Here is a 20083-nt window from a genome sequence, read left to right as displayed (position 1 = left end):
ACTCCCAGGCTGCTGAGAATTTCTGTGAAGAACCAGAAAGCCGTGCTCCCAGGGTCCACTCTGATACATGCAATCTTTCCTAGGCTGGACTCTCACTGCTGTTCAGGCAATCACTTTACTCATCTCTTGTTGAGTTGCTGATGCATCTCTCATAGTATCTATTCTAATTTTTTCCATATTCCTTAAGATTCCCCTAACCCCACCCCTTCTCCGGGATCACTTCATTCTTAGCAGATGGTCATTCTTCTAGAATGTAGCTCCCCCATTCCTTCAAATGGATGCTCCCCTGACTTCACTCCAGGGAGACTCAGTCACCATAGCAACCACTGCCGGCTTTGGTTCATTTCCTCAGAAACCCCAACTGGCAGAGATAGCTGAATTGAGGAATTTCTGCAGGAAAATTTTGGGAGCTCTTGATACTGAGGGCTGAAATCTCAAAGGCAGCTTTAAATTTAAATAACCAGAAAATAACAGATCCATAAGCTCAAAGGAGAAGCAAAGGGTGGGTCTAGAAACAGCAATTTCTTGTCCTGCTAGCTTCTTGAGAGAAGTCATAGGTTCTATGAAAACAAAAAGAGGTGGGGATCAGCTGGAGTTTGAGATTCTGATATCAAAAGACATCATTATGTCTTGTTTCATTGTTTCCAATATATGTTGGACGTGCAGACTTTAAAGGAAGAACATGAATATCTAACATTATTTCTCCTTTAATTTCAAAATTGATTTTTGGAGTTATGGGGGTAGCGTGTGATACTGTAAGTCTATTTAGCAAACATTTGTTGCTGTTCTCTTTGTGTCAGACATTGTGCTAGGATATGGAAAAGAATGAATACAATATACAATCTGTCCTAATGGGGGATACATACACACTAAGAGAAATGGAAAAGTTTACAATTAGACCAAAGTCAGCTCTTCCAGAGACATTTCTATCACAAAGTACAAGCATTTGCAAGTCTATGTGGGAACTCCATGAATTTGCAGAATGCTGTTTGATAAAGAAACCACTCAGCCCTTAACAGCATGTCCACGTTACCAAAGCATTTGAATCAGTTCACCATAAGGCAGTAAGCTCTCCTTTAAAAGGCTCATCCTTCACAGTTCTTGGCTGTTTGAATTTTCTCTTTCCTTCGTCACCCTTAAACTTAATTACACAGCAGCTGAAAAAGAAGACCTCTCTTGACCAAAATTTAAGGATAAAAATGTGGGATTATACAACAAATAACTATAATAAAATGTGGTCACTCTAAAATCCACACAAGAATAAAGAACACAGGAAAAAGGGGAAACACAGGAAAAAGGGCAATTTATTTTGTCCTAGGGACTTGGAAGAGGAAGAGTTGGTTAAAGCTTCATAAAAGAGAAAATGTTTCAGCTGTAATTTGTCTTCCTCCTCTATTCCTAAATGATAAATTATATTCTTTTTGGGAAATTAAAAAAATACATTTTTTAATTACAAGAAAAATATATATTTACAGAAATTACAAAAGCACCATAAGAGTTTGGATTCCAGTCCTCCACTCTTCACGGGTGAGCAACCATGAAGCTTCTGAGGACACTCTGTAATCTTGAGTACAGGGGTTTTGGAAACCAAGTGATGAAGACAGCATTTGTTATAATCAGGCCTTTAAAAACAAAACACTGTAAAGAACACTAAATGGGAATGGGAAAGTGGGAAGAGAGGGAAACTGTCCAGCTAATTCATTTGTAACTCTTGCCAGCCTCAGTCCAGACTTGCCAGAGGATCTTTGCTAGGTTATGGATTTTAGGTGTTTTCATTAAGGACTATCTGGAATAGAGCCTCATTCCTCCTCTACCCCAGAAGGCAACAGTCACTGATTCACACTTCATATCCCTTAAGCTTGCATGACTTAATTTCTTTCTTCCCATTAAGTTAGAATTAAAAAAAAACTCTTATTAGTTTCCTCCAAGGGTTTTGGAAAGATAAAGGAAACTGTCAAGTCTTAAGAGTGTCATAAACCTTGGGGACACACATGGCACTCAAATACTAGAGATGATGTCTAATGATACCATTTTCAAAAATGTCTTTCATTATTTTGCCATGTCCTGAAATCCCATAAAAGCATAACAGAAATGAGTTTGGGATTTTACTAAATTAAAATTTGTAAAGAAGGAGGAAAAGGATGATAATGATAATGTCGTTGATTTTCATTATTGTTCATTGCAAATTCCACGAAAAAGTAAAATATTAGTCAAGATGCAAAATTAGATGACCCTGTAGTCAAGAAGGCAAGGTAAGGTGCTTAAAATTTAACGAGACTGATGAAAGCAGAAAGAACATCAATCAAAATCTCAAGTTGTACATTGGCAGCACTTTCTGTGCTATCTCCCAAGTTTTTCTAGGGCTCCACCTATTACACTTGGAATCACCGACATTGCTGAAAGCATTTTAAAGGCATTAATTATCTAACTTACTGTCTTAATTACCTATGCTCATCTCAGGAGAATTGCAAAGGGATAGGCATCAGGAACACTTCTTTGGTGAGAGAAAACCAAGTGACAAAAGAGAAGCGTTTGTCCTAACACATCTAAAAGGCAGGTTGGAAATAACAGGTAGACTCAAGTTTGGTTCAGCCCAAATTAAAAAAAAATGCCATTCTCCTCATGCATTGACACCAAAATATTCACCTTCACCTACAAAATGATATTTTTTTCTGGCATGATTTTTTTCCCTTCGTTCAGCCTCAGAGATAATACTAATGATTACCAGTGATGGTAGTGAAAGCCAAGCTTAATCACCATAATTGACAATTAAGTTGGGTAACAACACAGAGACAGGTGATTTCACACAAGGCTAATGAAAATGGGCTATTAAAATCCACACACGTTTGGCAGCAATTATGAGCTCCTGGAGCCATTTGCTTTGAAATGTGCACATTTCACAGGTGGCTGCCTGCCAACAAGACAACTTTGAGCAGGACCGAGAAAGCAAGAGGAAAAGACAGAGTTGCCGGAGATTTTCTTAAGTGCCATTGCTTTTCAGTGGCTTGCTGAATCCTTATCACTACAGGCCAGATATTTTAAAGCCAAAGAAATATGCAAAGTTCACAGCTGCAGAGAATGACAGACATCCCATTTTCCTATAGAACCACGATGGAATTGGCAGAGGACAAGGGAGTGGGCACTAGCGAATACAGAAGGGCAAAGTAGAGAGGATTCCATGAAATAAGTGCTGGACCATGTAAGAGAGGCCTGGAGCCTGGATGTCTTGTCTGGAGTACACAGAAGATACTTAACAGTTTTCACAAAATGTGAAATGGAAGTAATAATCCCTGCTTCCCAAATATGATAGTATGGTTAAATGAGTTCAGTTCCTTGAAGGGCACTTGAATTCAGAGGCTGAGGTTACTTTGCTGCAGTTTCATGCATCTCCTAGCTCCCTGCTCTTACTCTCTTATATCAGGATGCCACCATTCTGCTCAAAGCCCCTCTCCTTTAAGCTCTTTACTGTCTGAATATGCCAGTTAGTAGGGAAGTTAGTCAACTTTTTTTAATGACAGGAAACCAAATAACAAACAGTGGTGAGAACTTGCCTGAAAATAGACTGGGAATCACATCTGTATTCAAATACAATAGTCGAATCTTGTTTTTTAGCCACTCTGACAATCTTTTAATTGGTACATTTAGACCATTCTCACTTAAAGTGATTATTGATATTGTCGAATCAATATTTACTGTTTGTAACCGTTTTCTATTCATTGTACCAGTTCTTTTTTAAAATCTCTTTTTCTGCATTTTCTGGTTTTATATGATTCCATTTTATCTCTTCTTTTAGCATATCAATTACGCTTTTCAATTTTTTAAGTAGTTGCCCTATGGATTGCCATATACATGTACAGTTAATATTTCTTCCTCTTCATGTGCAGTGAAAGTACCCTATAACAGACTATTTCCAATTTTCCCTCTCATCTCTTATGACATTACTGTCATTCATTTTATTTGTCCATATGAATACAATCACCAATACATTGTCACTCTTATTACCTTAAATAATTATCTTTTCAATCAATTAAGAATAAGAAAAACAAAACATTTTACTTTACTTGTACTTCATTCCCTGACACTTTTCCTTTCCTTTTGTGCATCCAAGTTTCTGACATAGATCATTTTCCTGCTCCGTGAAGAACAACTTTAGTTTTTCTTACAGGGGAAGGTCTGCTGACAATGACCTCTCAATTTTGTTTCTGTGAAATAGTCTTTAGTTCTCCTTCAGTTTTGAAGAATAAATTCACTAGATATAGAATTCAGGTTAGTGGGTTTATTTCTCTCAACACTTTAAATCTTTCACTCCATTCTCTTCCTGCTTGTGTGGTTTCTGATGAGAAGTTATCTGTAATACTCTTCCTTGTTTCTCTGTAAGTAAGTTGTTCTTTCCTCTGGCTTTTTTGAAAGATTTCTCTTTTTCTGAAGTTTGAATATGATATGCCTATGTATAGTGGGTTTTTTTTTACATTTATCCTGCTTGGTGTTCTCTGAGCTAACTGAAACTGCAGTTTCATGTCTGTCATTATTTTGGAAAAGTCTTGGACATTTTTATTTCAAATATATCTTCTGCTCCATTCTTTTTCTTCTCCTGGTATTTCAGTTGTGCGTGCTACACTTACTGAAATTGTTTCACAGTTGGATGTTCTATTGTAATTGCTTCACTCTATTTGGTCTTTACGTTTATGTTGTGGGAGTTTCTATTAATTCATCTTCGAGTTCATGGATTCTTTCTTCAGCCATATTCAGTCTATTGAGACCATCAAAGGCATTCTTTATTTTTGTCACAGTGTTTTTGATTATTTCTTAGAGTTTTCATCTCTCCGTTTACATTACCAATCTGGTCTTACATGTTGTCTACCATTTTCTTTGGAGCCCTTAACAGGTCATAGTTATTTAAAATTTCCAGCCTAGAAAAAACAATTTGTGTCATAGCTGGGTCTGGTTATAATGCTTATATTGTCTTTTTAGACTGCTTGTCTTTTTTCCTGCTTCTTTTTTTTTTTTGACAGAGTCTCACTCTGTCACCCAGGCTGGAGTGCAATGGCAAGATCTCGGCTCACTGCAACCTCTGCCTCCTGGGTTCAAGCGATTCTCCTGCCTCAGCCTCCTGAGTAGCTGGGATTACAGGCAAGTGCCACCATGCCTGGCTAATTTTTTAATTTTTTGTATTTTTAGTAGAGACAGGATTTCACCTTGTTTTTCAGGCTGGTCTCCAACTCCTGACCTTGTGATCTGTCCGCCTCGGCCTCCCAAAGTGCTGGGATTAGAGGCATGAGCCACCGCACCTGGCCTTTTCCTGCATTTTAAGATGACTTGAGTAGTTTTTGTTTTTGTTTTGAAAGCTGTATGTGGTATACTAATAGGAACTGAGGTAAATAGGGCTTTCGTGTAAGGTTTTATGTTTATCTGGCTAGGAGTTATGCAGTATTTAGTATTTGCTGTAGCTATAGGTGTCAGAGCCTTAAATTTCCTCTAGTGTCCTAGTTTTTGTCTACCTTGTCATCCTTGGATTTCCCTAGAAATGGCTTCTTAATTAGACTCTGTCTCTAATGCTCTCAGTTATAATCTACTTTTATTATACTGGAGCCCTATTGTAATAATAAAGTATTGGGGAGGACAGGAAGGGAAACATTCTATAATCATCTGCTTAAATCTTTTTTTTTTTTTTTCAAATGAGCAAAGTCCCTGGGATGTAACTTCCAGAATAATTTCTTAGCCTTTTTTCCCCTTCTTTATGTGAGACAAGATGGGTAGAGTGCACTAGAGTTGTCTAATTGCCCCCATGTTTGATCAGATAAGGCCCTGGTAAAGTAGTTTCTGTTGAGGGCAGGTCTTTGTTATGAAGAATAGAACACTCTGGGCCAATTTCAAAAGGGTTGCTTTCCCCTTTTCCCCTTCCCAAAGCACAAGGAGATGTTTTCTTTCATCTTCACTGTGAGACCCTTGGTTGGGCTTTTAGAAGTAAAATCATAAGTGTGGGGAACCCTACACTGGGTCACTAGGAGTTTTTAATTCTCAAGCTAATTTGCAATCAGTCTGTAGCTATTTGTCAATTACTATTTAAGTGTTCCTATCAGTTACTGATTTCAACAGTTTCTGCTCCTGGTAAGTTGTGATTCACTGTATCTGCCCATCTCTCTGGTTTTCGGAGTGGTAGTTTGCCCTGTGACCTCAATTCTCTGGGAGATCTCAGTTGGTGATTTTTAATTTGTTCAGCTTTTTTCTTGTCATGACAGTTTTTTCTTGTTGGGTTAAATAAAATCATTAAAATTAATTTTACCGGTTTCTTTTTAGATTTTTAATGTGGCTACTAGAAAATTTGAAATTACATATTTGGCTCACATTTTTCCATTTGCCTACACTACTCTTTGGTTTAAAATATGTATCTTTGATTTATTATAATCTACTTTTAAATGTTATAATGATATTTCACAAATAATTTGAAACTCTTAAAGTAGTATTTTATTCCCCATTCTGTCCCTTGTGCTATTGTTGTCATACATTTTATTTCTGCGTGTTATGAACCACATGCTAAATTATTTTGATCTTAGAATTAAATTATCCATTAAAGATCTTAAAAATGAGGGGAATAGTCTTTTTTATGTACCCACATATCTACTATTTGCAGTACTCTTCATTTGTTTGTGTAGATATAAGTTTGCAAGTTACATCATTTTCCTTTTGTCTGGAGAACTTCATTTAACATTTCTTGTAATGTAGACTTGCTTCTGCTTAATTTTCTCAGCTTTTGTTTATCTGAAAAGTTTTGATTTAGTATTCATTTTTTTATTTTGATTTTTATTTTACTTTAAGTTCTGGAAACGTGCAGAACATGCAGATTTGTTGCATAGGTATACCTGTGCCATGGTGGTTTGCTGCACCTATTGACCTGTCCTCTAAGTTCCCTCCCCTCGCCTCCCAACCCCCAACAGGCCCTGGTGTGTGTTGTTCCCCTCCCTGTGTCCATCTGTTCTCATTGTTCAACTCCCACTTATGAGTGAGAACATGTGGTGTTTGGTTTTCTGTTCCTGTGTTAGTTTGCTGAGGATGATAGGTTCCAGGTTCATCCATGTCCCTGTAAAGGACATGATCGCATGCCTTTTTATAACTGCACAGTATTCCACAGTGTATATGTACCACATTTTCTTTATCCAGTCTATCATTGATGGGCATTTGGGGGTTCCATGACTTTGCTATTATAAATAGTGCTGTAATAAACATATGTGTGCATGTATGCTTATAGCAGAATGATTTACATTCCTTTGGGTATATACCCAGTAATGGAATTGCTTGGCCAAATGGTATTTCTGGTTCAAGATCCTTGAGGAATTGCCTTACTATCTTTTACAATGGTTGAACTAATTTACATTCCCACCAAGAGTGTAAAAGTGTTCTTATTTCTACACAGCCTCGCCAGCATCTATTGTTTGTTGACTTTTTAATAATCGTCATTCTGACTGGCATGAGATGGTTCTCATTGTGGTTTTGACTTGCATTACTCTAATGATCAGTATGTTGAACTTTTTTTCACGTGTGTTGGCTGTGTAAGTGTCTTCTTTTGAGAAGTGTCTGTTCATGTACTTGACCTAGTTTTTGATGGAGTTGTTTCTTTCTTGTAAATTTGTTTAAGTTCCTTGTAAATTCTGGATATTAGCCCTTCATCAGATGGGTAGGTTGCAAAAAATTTCACCCATTCTGTAGGTTGCCTGTTCACTCTGGTGATAGTTTCTTTTGCTGTGCAGAAGCTCTTTAGTTTAATTGGATCCCATTTGTCAACTTGGCTTCTGTTGCAATAGCTTTTAGCGTTTTCATCATGAAGTCTTTGCTCAAGCCTATGTCCTGACTGGTATTGCCTAGATTTCTTCTAGGGTTTTTATAATGTGAGGTTTTACATCTAAGTCTTTAATCCATCTTGAGTTAATTTTTGTCCAAGGTGTAAGGAAGGGGTCCAGTTTCAGTTTTCTGTATATGGCTAGCCAGTTTTCCCAGCACCATTTATTGAATAGGAGGCCTTTCCCCATTGCTTGTTTTTGTTAGGTTTGTTGAAGATCAGATGGTTGTAGATGTGTAGCGTTATTTCTGAGGTCTCTATTCTGTTCCATTGGTATATATGACTGTTTTGGTACCAGTACCATGTTGTTTTTGTTACTATCGCTTTGTAGTATAGTTTGAAGTCAGGTAGCATGATGCCTCCAGCTTTGTTCTTTTTGCTTTGGACTGTCTTGGCAAAACGGGGTCTTCATTTATTAAGTTTTTTCTAATTCTGTGAAGAATCTCAAGGATAGTTTGATGGGAATAGCATTGAATCTATAAATTACTTTGGGCAGTATGGCCATTTTCACAATATTGAATATTCCATGAAAATGGAATGTTTTTTTCATTTTTTTGTGTCCTCTCTTATTTCCTTGAGCAGTGGTTTGTAGTTCTCCTTGAAGAGGTCCTCCACATCCTTTATAAGTTATATTCCTAGGTATTTAATTATCTTTGTAGCAATTGTGAATGGGAGTTCATTCATGATTTGGCTCTCTGCTTGTCTGTTGTTGGTGTATAGGAATGCTTGTGACTTTTGCATATCAATTTTGTATCCTGAAACTTTGCTGAAGCTGCTTACTAGGTTAAGGAGTTTTGGGGCTGAGATTATGGGGTTTTCTAAATATAGAATCATATTGTCTGCAAACAAAGACAATTTGACTTCCTCCCTTCCTATTTGAATACGCTTTATTTCTTTCTCTTGCCTGATTGCCCTGGCCAGAACTTTTAATACTGTGTCGAATAGGAGTGGTGACAGAGGGCATCCTTGCCTTGTATCAGTTTTCAAAGGGAATGCTTCCACCTTTTGCCCATTCAGTACAATATCGGCTGTGGGTTTTTCATAAAGAGCTCTTAGTATTTTGAGATATGTTCCATCAATACCTAGGTTATTGAGAGTTTTAAATATAAAGGAATGTTGAATTTTATCAAATGCCTTTTCTGCATCCATTGAGATAATCATGTGGTTTTTGTCTTTGGGTCTGTTTATGTGATGGATCACATTTATTGATTTGTGTATGTTGAGCCAGCCTTGCATTGCATCTCAGCAATGAAGCTGACTTGATCGTGGTGGATAAGTTTTTTGAAGGGCTACTCGATTTGGTTTCTCAGTATTTTATTGAAGATTTTTGCATCGATATTCATCAGGAATATTGGCCTGAAGTTTTCTTTTTTTGTTGTATCTCTGCCAGGCTTTGGTATCAGGATGATGCTGGCCTCATAAAATGAGTTAGGGAGGAGTCCTTCCTTTTCAATTGTTTGGAATAGTTTCAGAAGAAAAGGTACCAGCTCCTACTTGTACCTCTGGTAGAATTTGGCTGTGAATTCATCTGGTCCTGGGCTTTTTTTGGTTGGTAGGCTATTACTGCCTCAATTTCATAAGTTGTTATTGGTCTATTCAAGGGTTTGACCTCTTCCTGCTTATTCTTGGGAGGGTGTATGTGTCGAGGAATTTCTCCATTTCTTCTAGATTTTCTAGTTTGTTTGTGTAGAGGTGTTTATAGTATTCTCTGATGGTAGTTTGTATTTCTGTGGGGTCAGTGGTGATATCACCTTTGTCATTTTTTATTGTGTCTATTTGATTCTTCTCTTTTTTCTTATTTATCAGTCTAGATAGTGGTCTTTTTTTTTTCAAAAAAAAAAAAAAAGGGGGGGAGGAGCCAAGATGGCCGAATAGGAACAGCTCCGGTCTACACCTCCCAGCGTGAGCGACGCAGAAGACGGGTGATTTCTGCATTTCCATATGAGGTACCGGGTTCATCTCACTAGGGAGTGCCAGACAGTGGGCGCAGGTCAGTGGGTGCGTGCACCGTGCACGAGCCAAAGCAGGGCGAGGCATTGCCTCACTCGGGAAGCGCAAGGGGTCAGGGAGTTCCCTTTCCTAGTCAAAGAAAGGGGTGACAGATGGCACCTGGAAAATCGGGTCACTCCCAACCGAATACTGCGCTTTTCCGACGGGCTTAAAAAACGGCACACCAGGAGATTATATCTCGCACGTGGCTCGGAGGGTCCTACGCCCACGGAGTCTCGCTAATTGCTAGCACAGCAGTCTGAGATCAAACTGCAAGGCGGCAGCGAGGCTGGGGGAGGGGCACCTGCCATTGCCCAGGCTTGCTTAGGTAAACAAAGCAGCCGGGAAGCTCGAACTGGGTGGAGCCCACCACAGCTCAAGGAGGCATGCCTGCCTCTATAGGCTCCACCTCTGGGGGCAGGGCACAGACAAACAAAAAGACAGCAGTAACCTCTGCAGACTTAAATGTCCCTGTCTGACAGCTTTGAAAACAGCAGTGGTTCTCCCAGCACGCAGCTGGAGATCTGAGAACAGGCAGACTGCCTCCTCAAGTGGGTCCCTGACCCCTGACCCCCGAGAAGCCTAACTGGGAGGCACACCCCAGCAGGGGCAGACTGACACCTCACACGGCTGGGTACTCCAACAGACCTGCAGCTGAGGGTCCTGTCTGTTAGAAGGAAAACTAACAAACAGAAAGGACATCCACACCAAAAAACCATCTGTACATCACCATCATCAAAGACCAAAAGTAGATAAAACGACAAAGATGGGGAAAAACAGAGCAGAAAAACTGGAAACTCTAAAAAGCAGAACGCCTCTCCTCCTCCAAAGGAACGCAGTTCCTCACCAGCAACGGAACAAAGCTGGACGGAGAATGACTTTGACGAGTTGAGAGAAGAAGGCTTCAGACGATCAAATTACTCCGAGCTATGGGAGGACATTCAAACCAAAGGCAAAGAAGTTGAAAACTTTGAAAAAAATTTAGAAGAATGTATAACTAGAATAACCAATACAGAGAAGTGCTTAAAGGAGCTGATGGGGCTGAAAACCAAGGCTCGAGAACTACGTGAAGAATGCAGAAGCCTCAGGAGCCGATGCAATCAACTGGAAGAAAGGGTATCAGCAATGGAAGATGAAATGAATGAAATGAAGCAAGAAGGGAAGTTTAGAGAAAACAGAATGAAAAGAAACAAGCAAAGGCTCCAAGAAATATGCGACTATGTGAAAAGACCAAATCTACATCTGATTGGTGTACCTGAAAGTGACATGGAGAATGGAACCAAGTTGGAAAACACTCTGCAGGATATTATCCAGGAGAACTTCCCCAATCTAGCAAGGCAGGCCAACATTCAGATTCAGGAAATATAGAGAACGCCACAAAGATACTCCTCGAGAAGAGCAACTCCAAGACACATAATTGTCAGATTCACCAAAGTTGAAATGAAGGAAAAAATGTTAAGGGCAGCCAGAGAGAAAGGTTGGGTTACCCTCAAAGGGAAGCCCATCAGACTAACAGCGGATCTCTCGGCAGAAACTCTACAAGCCAGAAGAGAGTGGGGGCCAATATTCAACATTCTTAAAGAAAAGAATTTTCAACCCAGAATTTCATATCCAGCCAAACTAAGCTTCATAAGTGAAGGAGAAATAAAATACTTTACAGACAAACAAATGCTGAGAGATTTTGTCACCACCGGGCCTGCCCAAAAAGAGCTCCTGAAGGAAGCGCTAAACATGGAAAGGAACAACCGGTACCAGCCACTGCAAAATCATGCCAAAATGTAAAGACCATCGAGACTAGGAAGAAACTGCATCAACTAACGAGCAAAATAACCAGCTAACATCATAATGACAGGATCAAATTCACACATAACAATATTAACTTTAAATGTAAATGGACTAAATGCTCCAATTAAAAGACACAGACTGGCAAATTGGATAAAGAGTCAAGACCCTTCAGTGTGCTGTATTCAGGAAACCCATCTCACGTGCAGAGACACACACAGGCTCAAAATAAAAGGATGGAGGAAGATCTACCAAGCAAATGGAAAACAAAAAAAGGCAGGGGTTGCAATCCTAGTCTCTGATAAAACAGACTTTAAACCAACAAAGATCAAAAGAGACAAAGAAGGCCATTACATAATGGTAAAGGGATCAATTCAACAAGAAGAGCTAACTATCCTAAATATATATGCACCCAATACAGGAGCATCCAGATTCATAAAGCAAGTTCTGAGTGACCTACAAAGACACTTAGACTCCCACACATTAATAATGGGAGACTTTAACACCCCACTGTCAACATTAGACAGATCAACGAGACAGAAAGTCAGCAAGGATACCCAGGAATTGAACTCAGCTCTGCACCAAGCAGACCTAATAGACATCTACAGAACTCTCCACCCCAAATCAACAGAATATACATTTTTTTAGCACCACACCACACCTATTCCAAAATTGACCACATAGTAGGAAGTAAAGCTCTCCTCAGCAAATGTAAAAGAACAGAAATTATAACAAACTGTCTCTCAGACCACAGTGCAATCAAACTAGAACTCAGCATTAAGAATCTCACTCAAAACCGCTCAACTACATGGAAACTGAACAACCTGCTCCTGAAGGACTACTGGGTACATAACGAAATGAAGGCAGAAATAAAGATGTTCTTTGAAACCAACGAGAACTAAGACACAACATACCAGAATCTCTGGGATGCATTCAAAGCAGTGTGTAGAGGGAAACTTATAGCACTAAATGCCCACAAGAGAAAGCAGGAAAGATCCAAAATTGACACCTAACATCACAATTAAAAGAACTAGAAAAGCAAGAGCAAACACATTCAAAAGCTAGCAGAAGGCAAGAAATAACTAAAATCAGAGCAGAACTGCAGGAAGTAGAGACACAAAAACCCCTTCAAAAAATTAGTGAATCCAGGAGCTGGTTTTTTGAAAGGATCAACAAAATTGATAAACTGCTAGCAAGACTAATAAAGAAAAAAAGAGAGAAGAATCAAATAGATGCAATAAAAAATGATAAAGGGGATATCAACACCGATCCCACAGAAATACAAACTATTATTAGAGAATACTACAAACACCTCTACGCAAATAAACTAGAAAATCTAGAAGAAATGGATAAATTCCTCGACACATACACTCTCCCAAGACTAAACCAGGAAGAAGTTGAATCTCTGAATGGACCAATAACACACTCTGAAATTGTGGCAATAATCAATAGCTTACCAACCAAAAAGAGTCCAGGACCAGATGGATTCACAGCCGAATTCTACCAGAGGTACAAGGAGGAACTGGTACCATTCCTTCTGAAACTATTCCAATCAATAGAAAAAGAGGGAATCCTCCCTAACTCATTTTATGAGGCCAGCATCATCCTGATACCAAAGCCGGGCAGAGACACAACCAAAAAAGAGAATTTTAGACCAATATCCTTGATAAACATTGATGCAAAAATCCTCAATAAAATACTGGCAAACTGAATCCAGCAGCACATCAAAAAGCTTATCCACCATGATCAAGTGGGATTCATCCCTGGGATTCAAGGCTGGTTCAATATACTCAAATCAATAAATGTAATCCAGCATATAAACAGAACCAAAGACAAAAACCACATGATTATCTCAATAGATGCAGAAAAGGCCTTTGACAAAATTCAACAACCCTTCATGCTAAAAACTCTCAATAAATTAGGTATTGATGGGACATATTTCAAAATAATAAGAGCTATCTATGACAAACCCACAGCCAATATCATACTGAATGGGCAAAAACCGGAAACATTCCCTTTGAAAACTGGCACAAGACAGGGATGCCCTCTCTCACCACTCCTATTCAACATAGTGTTGGAAGTTCTGGCCAGGGCAATTAGGCAGGAGAAGGAAATAAAGGGTATTCAATTAGGAAAAGAGGAAGTCAAATTGTCCCTGTTTGCGCATGACATGATTGTATATCTCGAAAACCCCATTGTCTCAGCCCAAAATCTCCTTAAGCTGATAAGCAACTTCAGCAAAGTCTCAGGATACAAAATCAATGTACAAAAATCACAAGCATTCTTATACACCAATAACAAACAGAGAGCCAAATCATGAGTGAACTCCCATTCACAATTGCTTCAAAGAGAATAAAATACCTAGGAATCCAACTTACAAGGGATGTGAAGGACCTCTTCAAGAAGAACTACAAACCACTGCTCAGTGAAATAAAAGAGGATACAAAGAAATGGAAGAACATTCCATGCTCATGGGTAGGAAGAATCAATATCGTGAAAATGGCCATACTGCCCAAGGTAATTTACAGATTCAATGCCATCCCCATCAAGCTACCAATGACTTTCTTCACAGAATTGGAAAAAACTACTTTAAAGTTCATATGGAACCAAAAAAGAGCCCGCATCGCCAAGTCAATCCTAAGCCAAAAGAACAAAGCTGGAGGCATCACACTACCTGACTTCAAACTATTCTACAAGGCTACAGTAACCAAAACAGCATGGTACTGGTACCAAAACAGAGATATAGACCAATGGAACAGAACAGAGCCCTCAGAAATAATGCCGCATATCTACAACTATCTGATCTTTGACAAACCTGAGAAAAACAAGCAATGGGGAAAGGATTTCCTATTTAATAAATGGTGCTGGGAAAACTGGCTAGCCATATGTAGAAAGCTGAAACTGGATCCCTTCCTTACACCTTATACAAAAATCAATTCAAGATGAATTAAAGACTTAAACTTTAGACCTAACACCATAAAAACCCTAGAAGAAAACCTAGGCTTTACCATTCAGGACATAGGCATGGGCAAGGACTTCATGTCTAAAACACCAAAAGCCATGGCAACAAAAGCCAAAATTGACAAATGGGATCTAATTAAACTAAAGAGCTTCTGCACAGCTAAAGAAACTACCATCAGAGTGAACAGGCAACCTACAAAATGGGAGAAAATTTTCACAACCTACTCATCTGACAAAGGGCTAATATCCAGAATCTACAATGAACTCAAACAAATTTACAAGAAAAAAACCCCATTAAAAAGTGGGCAAAGGACATGAACAGACACTTCTCAAAAGAAGACGTTTATGCAGCCAAAAAACACATGAAAAAATGCTCACCATCACTGGCCATCAGAGAAATGCAAATCAAAACCACAATGAGATACCATCTCACGCCAGTTAGAATGGCAATCATTAAAAAGTCAGGAAACAACAGGTGCTGGAGAGGATGTGGAGAAATAGGAACACTTTTACACTGTTGGTGGGACTGTAAACTAGTTCAACCATTGTGGAAGTCAGTGTGGCGATTCCTCAGGGATCTAGAACTAGAAATACCATTTGACCCAGCCATCCCATTACTGGGTATATACCCAAAGGACTATAAATCATGCTGCTATAGAGACACATGCACACGTATGTTTATTGTGGCACTATTCACAATAGCAAAGACTTGGAACCAACCCAAATGTCCAACAATGATAGACTGGATTCAGAAAAAGTGGCACATATACACCATGGAATACTATGCAGCCATAAAAAATGATGAGTTCATGTCCTTTGTAGGGACATGAATGAAATTAGAAATCATCATTCTCAGTAAACTACCGCAAGAACAAAAAACCAAACACTGCATATTCTCACTCATAGGTGGGAATTGAACAATGAGAACACATGGACACACGAAGGGGAACATCACACTCTGGGGACTGTTGTGGGGTGGGGGGGAGGGGGGAAGGATAGCTTTAGGAGATATACCTAATGCTAGATGACGAGTTAGTGGGTGCAGCGCACCAGCATGGCACATGTATACATATGTATCTAACCTGCACATTGTGCACATGTACCCTAAAACTTAAAGTATAATAAAAAAAAATTTTTTTTCTTTCATTTAATAGGTTGTCTTTTCACTTTCTGATAGTGTCTGCTACACAAAAGTGCTTATTTTCTTTTTAAGTTTTTAATTTTGTGGGTGCATAGCAGCTATGTATATTGATGGGGTACGTGAGATACTTTGATACAGGCATGCAAGGTGTAGTAATCACATTAGGATAAATAAAGTATCCATCACCTCAAAAAAAAAAAAAAAACCCAGCTCCTGGATTCATTGATTTTTTTTGGAGGGTTTTTCGTGTTTCTATCTCCTTCATTTGTGCTCTGATGTTATTTATTTCTTGTATTCTCCTAGTTTTAAAACTAATTTGCTCTTGTTTCTCTAGCTCTTTTAATGATGAAGTTAGGTTGTCAATTTGAGATTTTTAGCTTTCTGATATGGGCATTTAGTGCTATAAATCTCCCTCTTAACAGTGCTGTAGCTGTGTTCTAGAGATTCCGGTATATTGTCTCTTTGTTCTCATCGGTTTCAAAGAACTTCTGGATTTCTACCTTAATTTCGTCATATATCCAGGAGTCATTCAGGAGAAGGTTGTTCAAGTTGCATGTAATTTTGTGGTTTTGAGTGAATTTCTTAATCCTGAGTTCTAATTAGATTGTACTATATTCTAAGATAATTTTGTTATGATTTCAGTTCTTTTCCATTTGCTGAGGGAGTGTTTTAATTCTAATTATGTGGTCTGTTTTAGAGTAAGTGCTATGTGGTGCTGAGAAGAATGTATATTCTGTTGATTTGAGGTGGAGAGTTCTGTAGACGTCTATTAGGTTCACTTGATCCAGAGCTGAGTTCAAGTCCTGAATATCCTTGTTAATTTTCTGTCACATTGATCTGTCTAATATCGACAGTGGAGTGTTAAAGTCTCCCACTATTATTGTGTGAGAGTCTAAGTCTCTTTGTAGGTCTCTAAGAACTTGTTTTATGAATCTGGGTGCTCCTATATTGGGTTCATGTATATTTAGGACAGTTAGCTTTTCTTGTTGAATTGATCCCTTTACCATTATGTAGTGCCCTTCTTTGTCTTTCTTTTTTTTTAATTTTTATTTTATTTCACGTTCTGGGATGCATGTGCAGAATGTGTAGGTTTGTTTCATAGGTAAACGTACACCATGGTGGTTTGCTGCACCTATCAACCCATTACCTAGGTATTAAGCCCCACAGCATTAGCTATTTATTCTGATGCTCTCCTTCCTCCCACCCCCCATAGGCCCCAGTATGTGTTGTTCCCTTCCCCGTATCCATGTTTTCTCATTGTACAGCTTTCACTTATGAGTGAGAACATGCAGTGTTTGATAAACTTTCAAACTCCAAAGCCATTATTTTCTACCACAACTCAGAAGAAGCTGTAGTGAACAGTGAGGTGGCTGGTTGTTGTTGGCTCTGAAATTTTCATCCTCCATCACTAATTACATACCAGTTAAATGTATTTTATTAGGTAGGTCAAACCCGTTACTAGTACTATTTCTTAGACATTTAACGTAGTACACATTTTTGCTAAATGGTGAAAAACAAGTAATCACCTAAATGGCATTCAGATTCCATGTGTCATTTTTTTTCACGCTTTCACTATTGTTTTTCCAAATTATCTCCTTTCAGCATTCCCATAAATGCAGCTGGCATGTTTTCATATCCTTCAATGATATATTCCTGGTACTGGATTTGACCCTCTGAGACCCATTTCAGCAAGTCCTTTAGAGCTTTTTGGTGGGCATCTCCTGGCCAGCAGGTCACAATGAACCCTTCCATGTGAAGCTCCTGATACATCTAACAATCTCTGGGATTGGGCCTGGGGGAAGTGGGCTGGTACCACCACACCCGGCTAATTTTTGTATTTTTGGTAGAGACGGGGGTTTCACCATGTTGGCCAGGCTGGTCTCAAACTCCTGACCTCAGGTGATCCACCTGCCTCATTCTCCCAAAGTACTGGGATTACAGGTGTTATATGTAGATATGTATATGTTATATATAGAGATAGCTCCACATGTGGCAATTCTTCCAAATTTCTTCATCTGGGAGATAACAGTGTTTGAAAACCATCCACTTACATTACCAAAATAACAATTGTAACCATCAGGAGAGGCTTTCTTCAAAGTTTCTTCAAAGACTCTACTGTCTTGTAGTTAAAGACATCAGATCCAAGCTTTTTAAGGCAGGCAGTCTTTTCGTCAGACCCTACTGCTCCAACCACTTTGCAGCCCTTGAGCTTTGTAATCTGCCCCAAAACAGAGCCCACAGCTCCAGCTGCTGCATTAACCATCACTGTTTCTCCACCCTTCACACCACAGATGTCAAGTAGGCCAAAGTAGGCAGTGAGGCCTGTCATGCTAACTGTCCCCAGAGCCAGAGACAGTGGTACTGTGTCAGGCCATTCTGTTGGCAGGTTTTCCAGATCTTTTCCATGAGCAATGGAGTGTGCTGTCCAGCCTGAAGGAGCCAGTACAATAGTTCTGTTGGTAAGGCTGCGTTTTTACTTTCCACAAATCTGGCCACTTGCTGCCCCATCATTGTATCACCTTCCTTCAGTCTTTTGGCTGCCACTCTCATGTAAGGGTCCCCAGTGAGGAACAAAGCTTCAAGCAGGACCTCTCTATTTTTTAAGGGTGGGAGCTCAGCTGTCTTCAACTCAAAGTCACTATTAGTAGGATTGCCAACAAAGTGCTTCTTCAGGGTCCATCTCAGCATGAATCATCCTGAAGCTCAGGAGCCCAAGGATTCCACTGTCTGGGGTTGGTGGCTGGGACTGCCTTCTTTGTCTTTTCTGATCTTTGTTGGTTTAAAGTCTGTTTTGTCAGAGACTAGGATTGCAACCCCTCCTTTTTTTATTTTTAATTTTTATTTTCTGCTTTCCATTTGGTTAGTAAATTTCCCCCCATCCTTTTATTTTGTGCCAATGTGTGTCTTTGCATGTGAGATGGGTCTCCTAAATACAGCACACCGATCAATGGGTCTTGACTCCTTATCGAATTTGCCAGTCTTTGTCTTTTAATTGGAGCATTTAGCCCATTTGCATTTAAGGTTTTTTTTTTTTTTTTTTTTTGGACAAGGTTTCACTCTTGTTGTCCAGGCTGGAGTGCAATGGCATGATCTCGGCTGACTGTAACCTCTGCCCCCTGGATTCAAGCGATTCTCCTGCCTAAGCCTCCTGAGTAGCTGGGATTACAGGTGCCTGCCACCATACCCAGCTAATTTTTGTATTTTTAGTAGAGACGGGGCTTTCACCATGTTGGCCCAGCTGGTCTCGCACTCCTGACCTTAGGTGATCCACCTGCCTTGGCCTCCCAAAGTGCTGGGATTACAGGCATGAGCCACTGCTCCCGGCCAAGGTTAGTTTTGTTATGTGTGAATTTGATACTGTCATCATGATGCTAGCTGCTTATTTTGCACACTAGTTGATGCAGTTTCTTCATAGTGTCATTGGTATTTATATTTTGGTGTGTTTTTTGCAGTGGTTGGTACCAGTTTTTCCTTTCCATATTTAGTGTCTCCTTCAGGAGCTCCTGCAAGGCAGGCCTGGTGGTGACAAAATCCCTCAGCATTTGCTTTTCTGGAAAGGATTTTATTTCTCCTTCACTTATGAGGCTTAGTTTGGCCAGCTATGAAACTCTGGGTTGGAAATTCTTTTCTTTAAGAATGTTTGATATTGGCTCACAATCTCTTCTGGCTTGTAGGGTTTCTGCTGAAAGGTCTGCTGTTAGTCTGATGGGCTTCCCTTTGTAGGTGACGTGACCTTTTTCTCTGGCTGGCCTTAACATTTTTTCCTTCATTTCACCTTGGTAAATCTGACAATTATGTGTCTTGGGGTTGATCTTCTCATGGAGTATCTTAGTGGTGTTCTCTGTATTTCCTGAATTTGCATGTTGGCCTGTCTTGCTAGGTTGGGGAAGTTCTCCTGGATAATATCCTGAGGTGTTTTCCAGCTTGTTTCCATTCTCCCCGTCTCCTTCAGGTACTCCAATCATAGGTTTGGTCTTTTTACATAGTCCCATATTTCTTGGAGGCTTTGTGTGCTCCTTTTCATTCTTTTTTCTCTAATCTTGTCTGCATGCCTTACTTTAGCAAGGTGGTCTTCAAACTCTGATATCCTTTCTTCCACTTGGTCGATTTGGCTATTGATTCTTGTGTATGCTTCACGAAGTTCTCATGCTGTGTTTTTCAGCTGCATCACGTCATTTATGTTCCTCTTTAAACTGGTTAATCTAGTTAGCTCCTCTAACCTTTTATAAAGGTTCTTAGCTTCTTTGCATTGGCTTAGATCATCATCCTTTAGCTCAGCAGAAGTTTTTTTTATTACTCATCTTCTGAAGCCTACTTCTGTCAATTCTTCCATCTCATCCTCTGTCCAATTCTGTGCCCTTGCTAGAGAGGCGTTG

The 20083-nt window shown here is 39.4% G+C and overlaps 1 pseudogene, besides 2 other annotated features; it reads right to left on the bottom strand.

Moving 5' to 3' along the window:
* Window positions 708–1294: an enhancer, noted in NCBI's record as "OCT4-NANOG hESC enhancer chr1:146807941-146808527 (GRCh37/hg19 assembly coordinates)". NCBI's record gives its function as "activates a minimal SCP1, AML or CMV promoter by ChIP-STARR-seq in naive and primed H9 embryonic stem cells {active_cell/tissue: H9 hESC(naive and primed)}" and the evidence as "EXISTENCE:reporter gene assay evidence [ECO:0000049][PMID:30033119]".
* Window positions 9571–9768: a silencer, noted in NCBI's record as "peak402 fragment used in MPRA reporter construct". NCBI's record gives its function as "represses an SCP1 promoter by STARR-seq MPRAs in K562 erythroleukemia cells {active_cell/tissue: K562}" and the evidence as "EXISTENCE:reporter gene assay evidence [ECO:0000049][PMID:32103011]".
* Window positions 17120–18415, bottom strand: LOC100130018 (prostaglandin reductase 1 pseudogene; annotated as a pseudogene).

This window comes from Homo sapiens, chromosome 1 (genome assembly GCF_000001405.40).
Source record: "Homo sapiens chromosome 1, GRCh38.p14 Primary Assembly".
Classification (NCBI taxonomy): Eukaryota; Metazoa; Chordata; class Mammalia; order Primates; family Hominidae; genus Homo; species Homo sapiens.
Note: the sequence above shows the minus strand (reverse complement) of the source record. Positions and strands in the feature narration are given on the sequence as shown.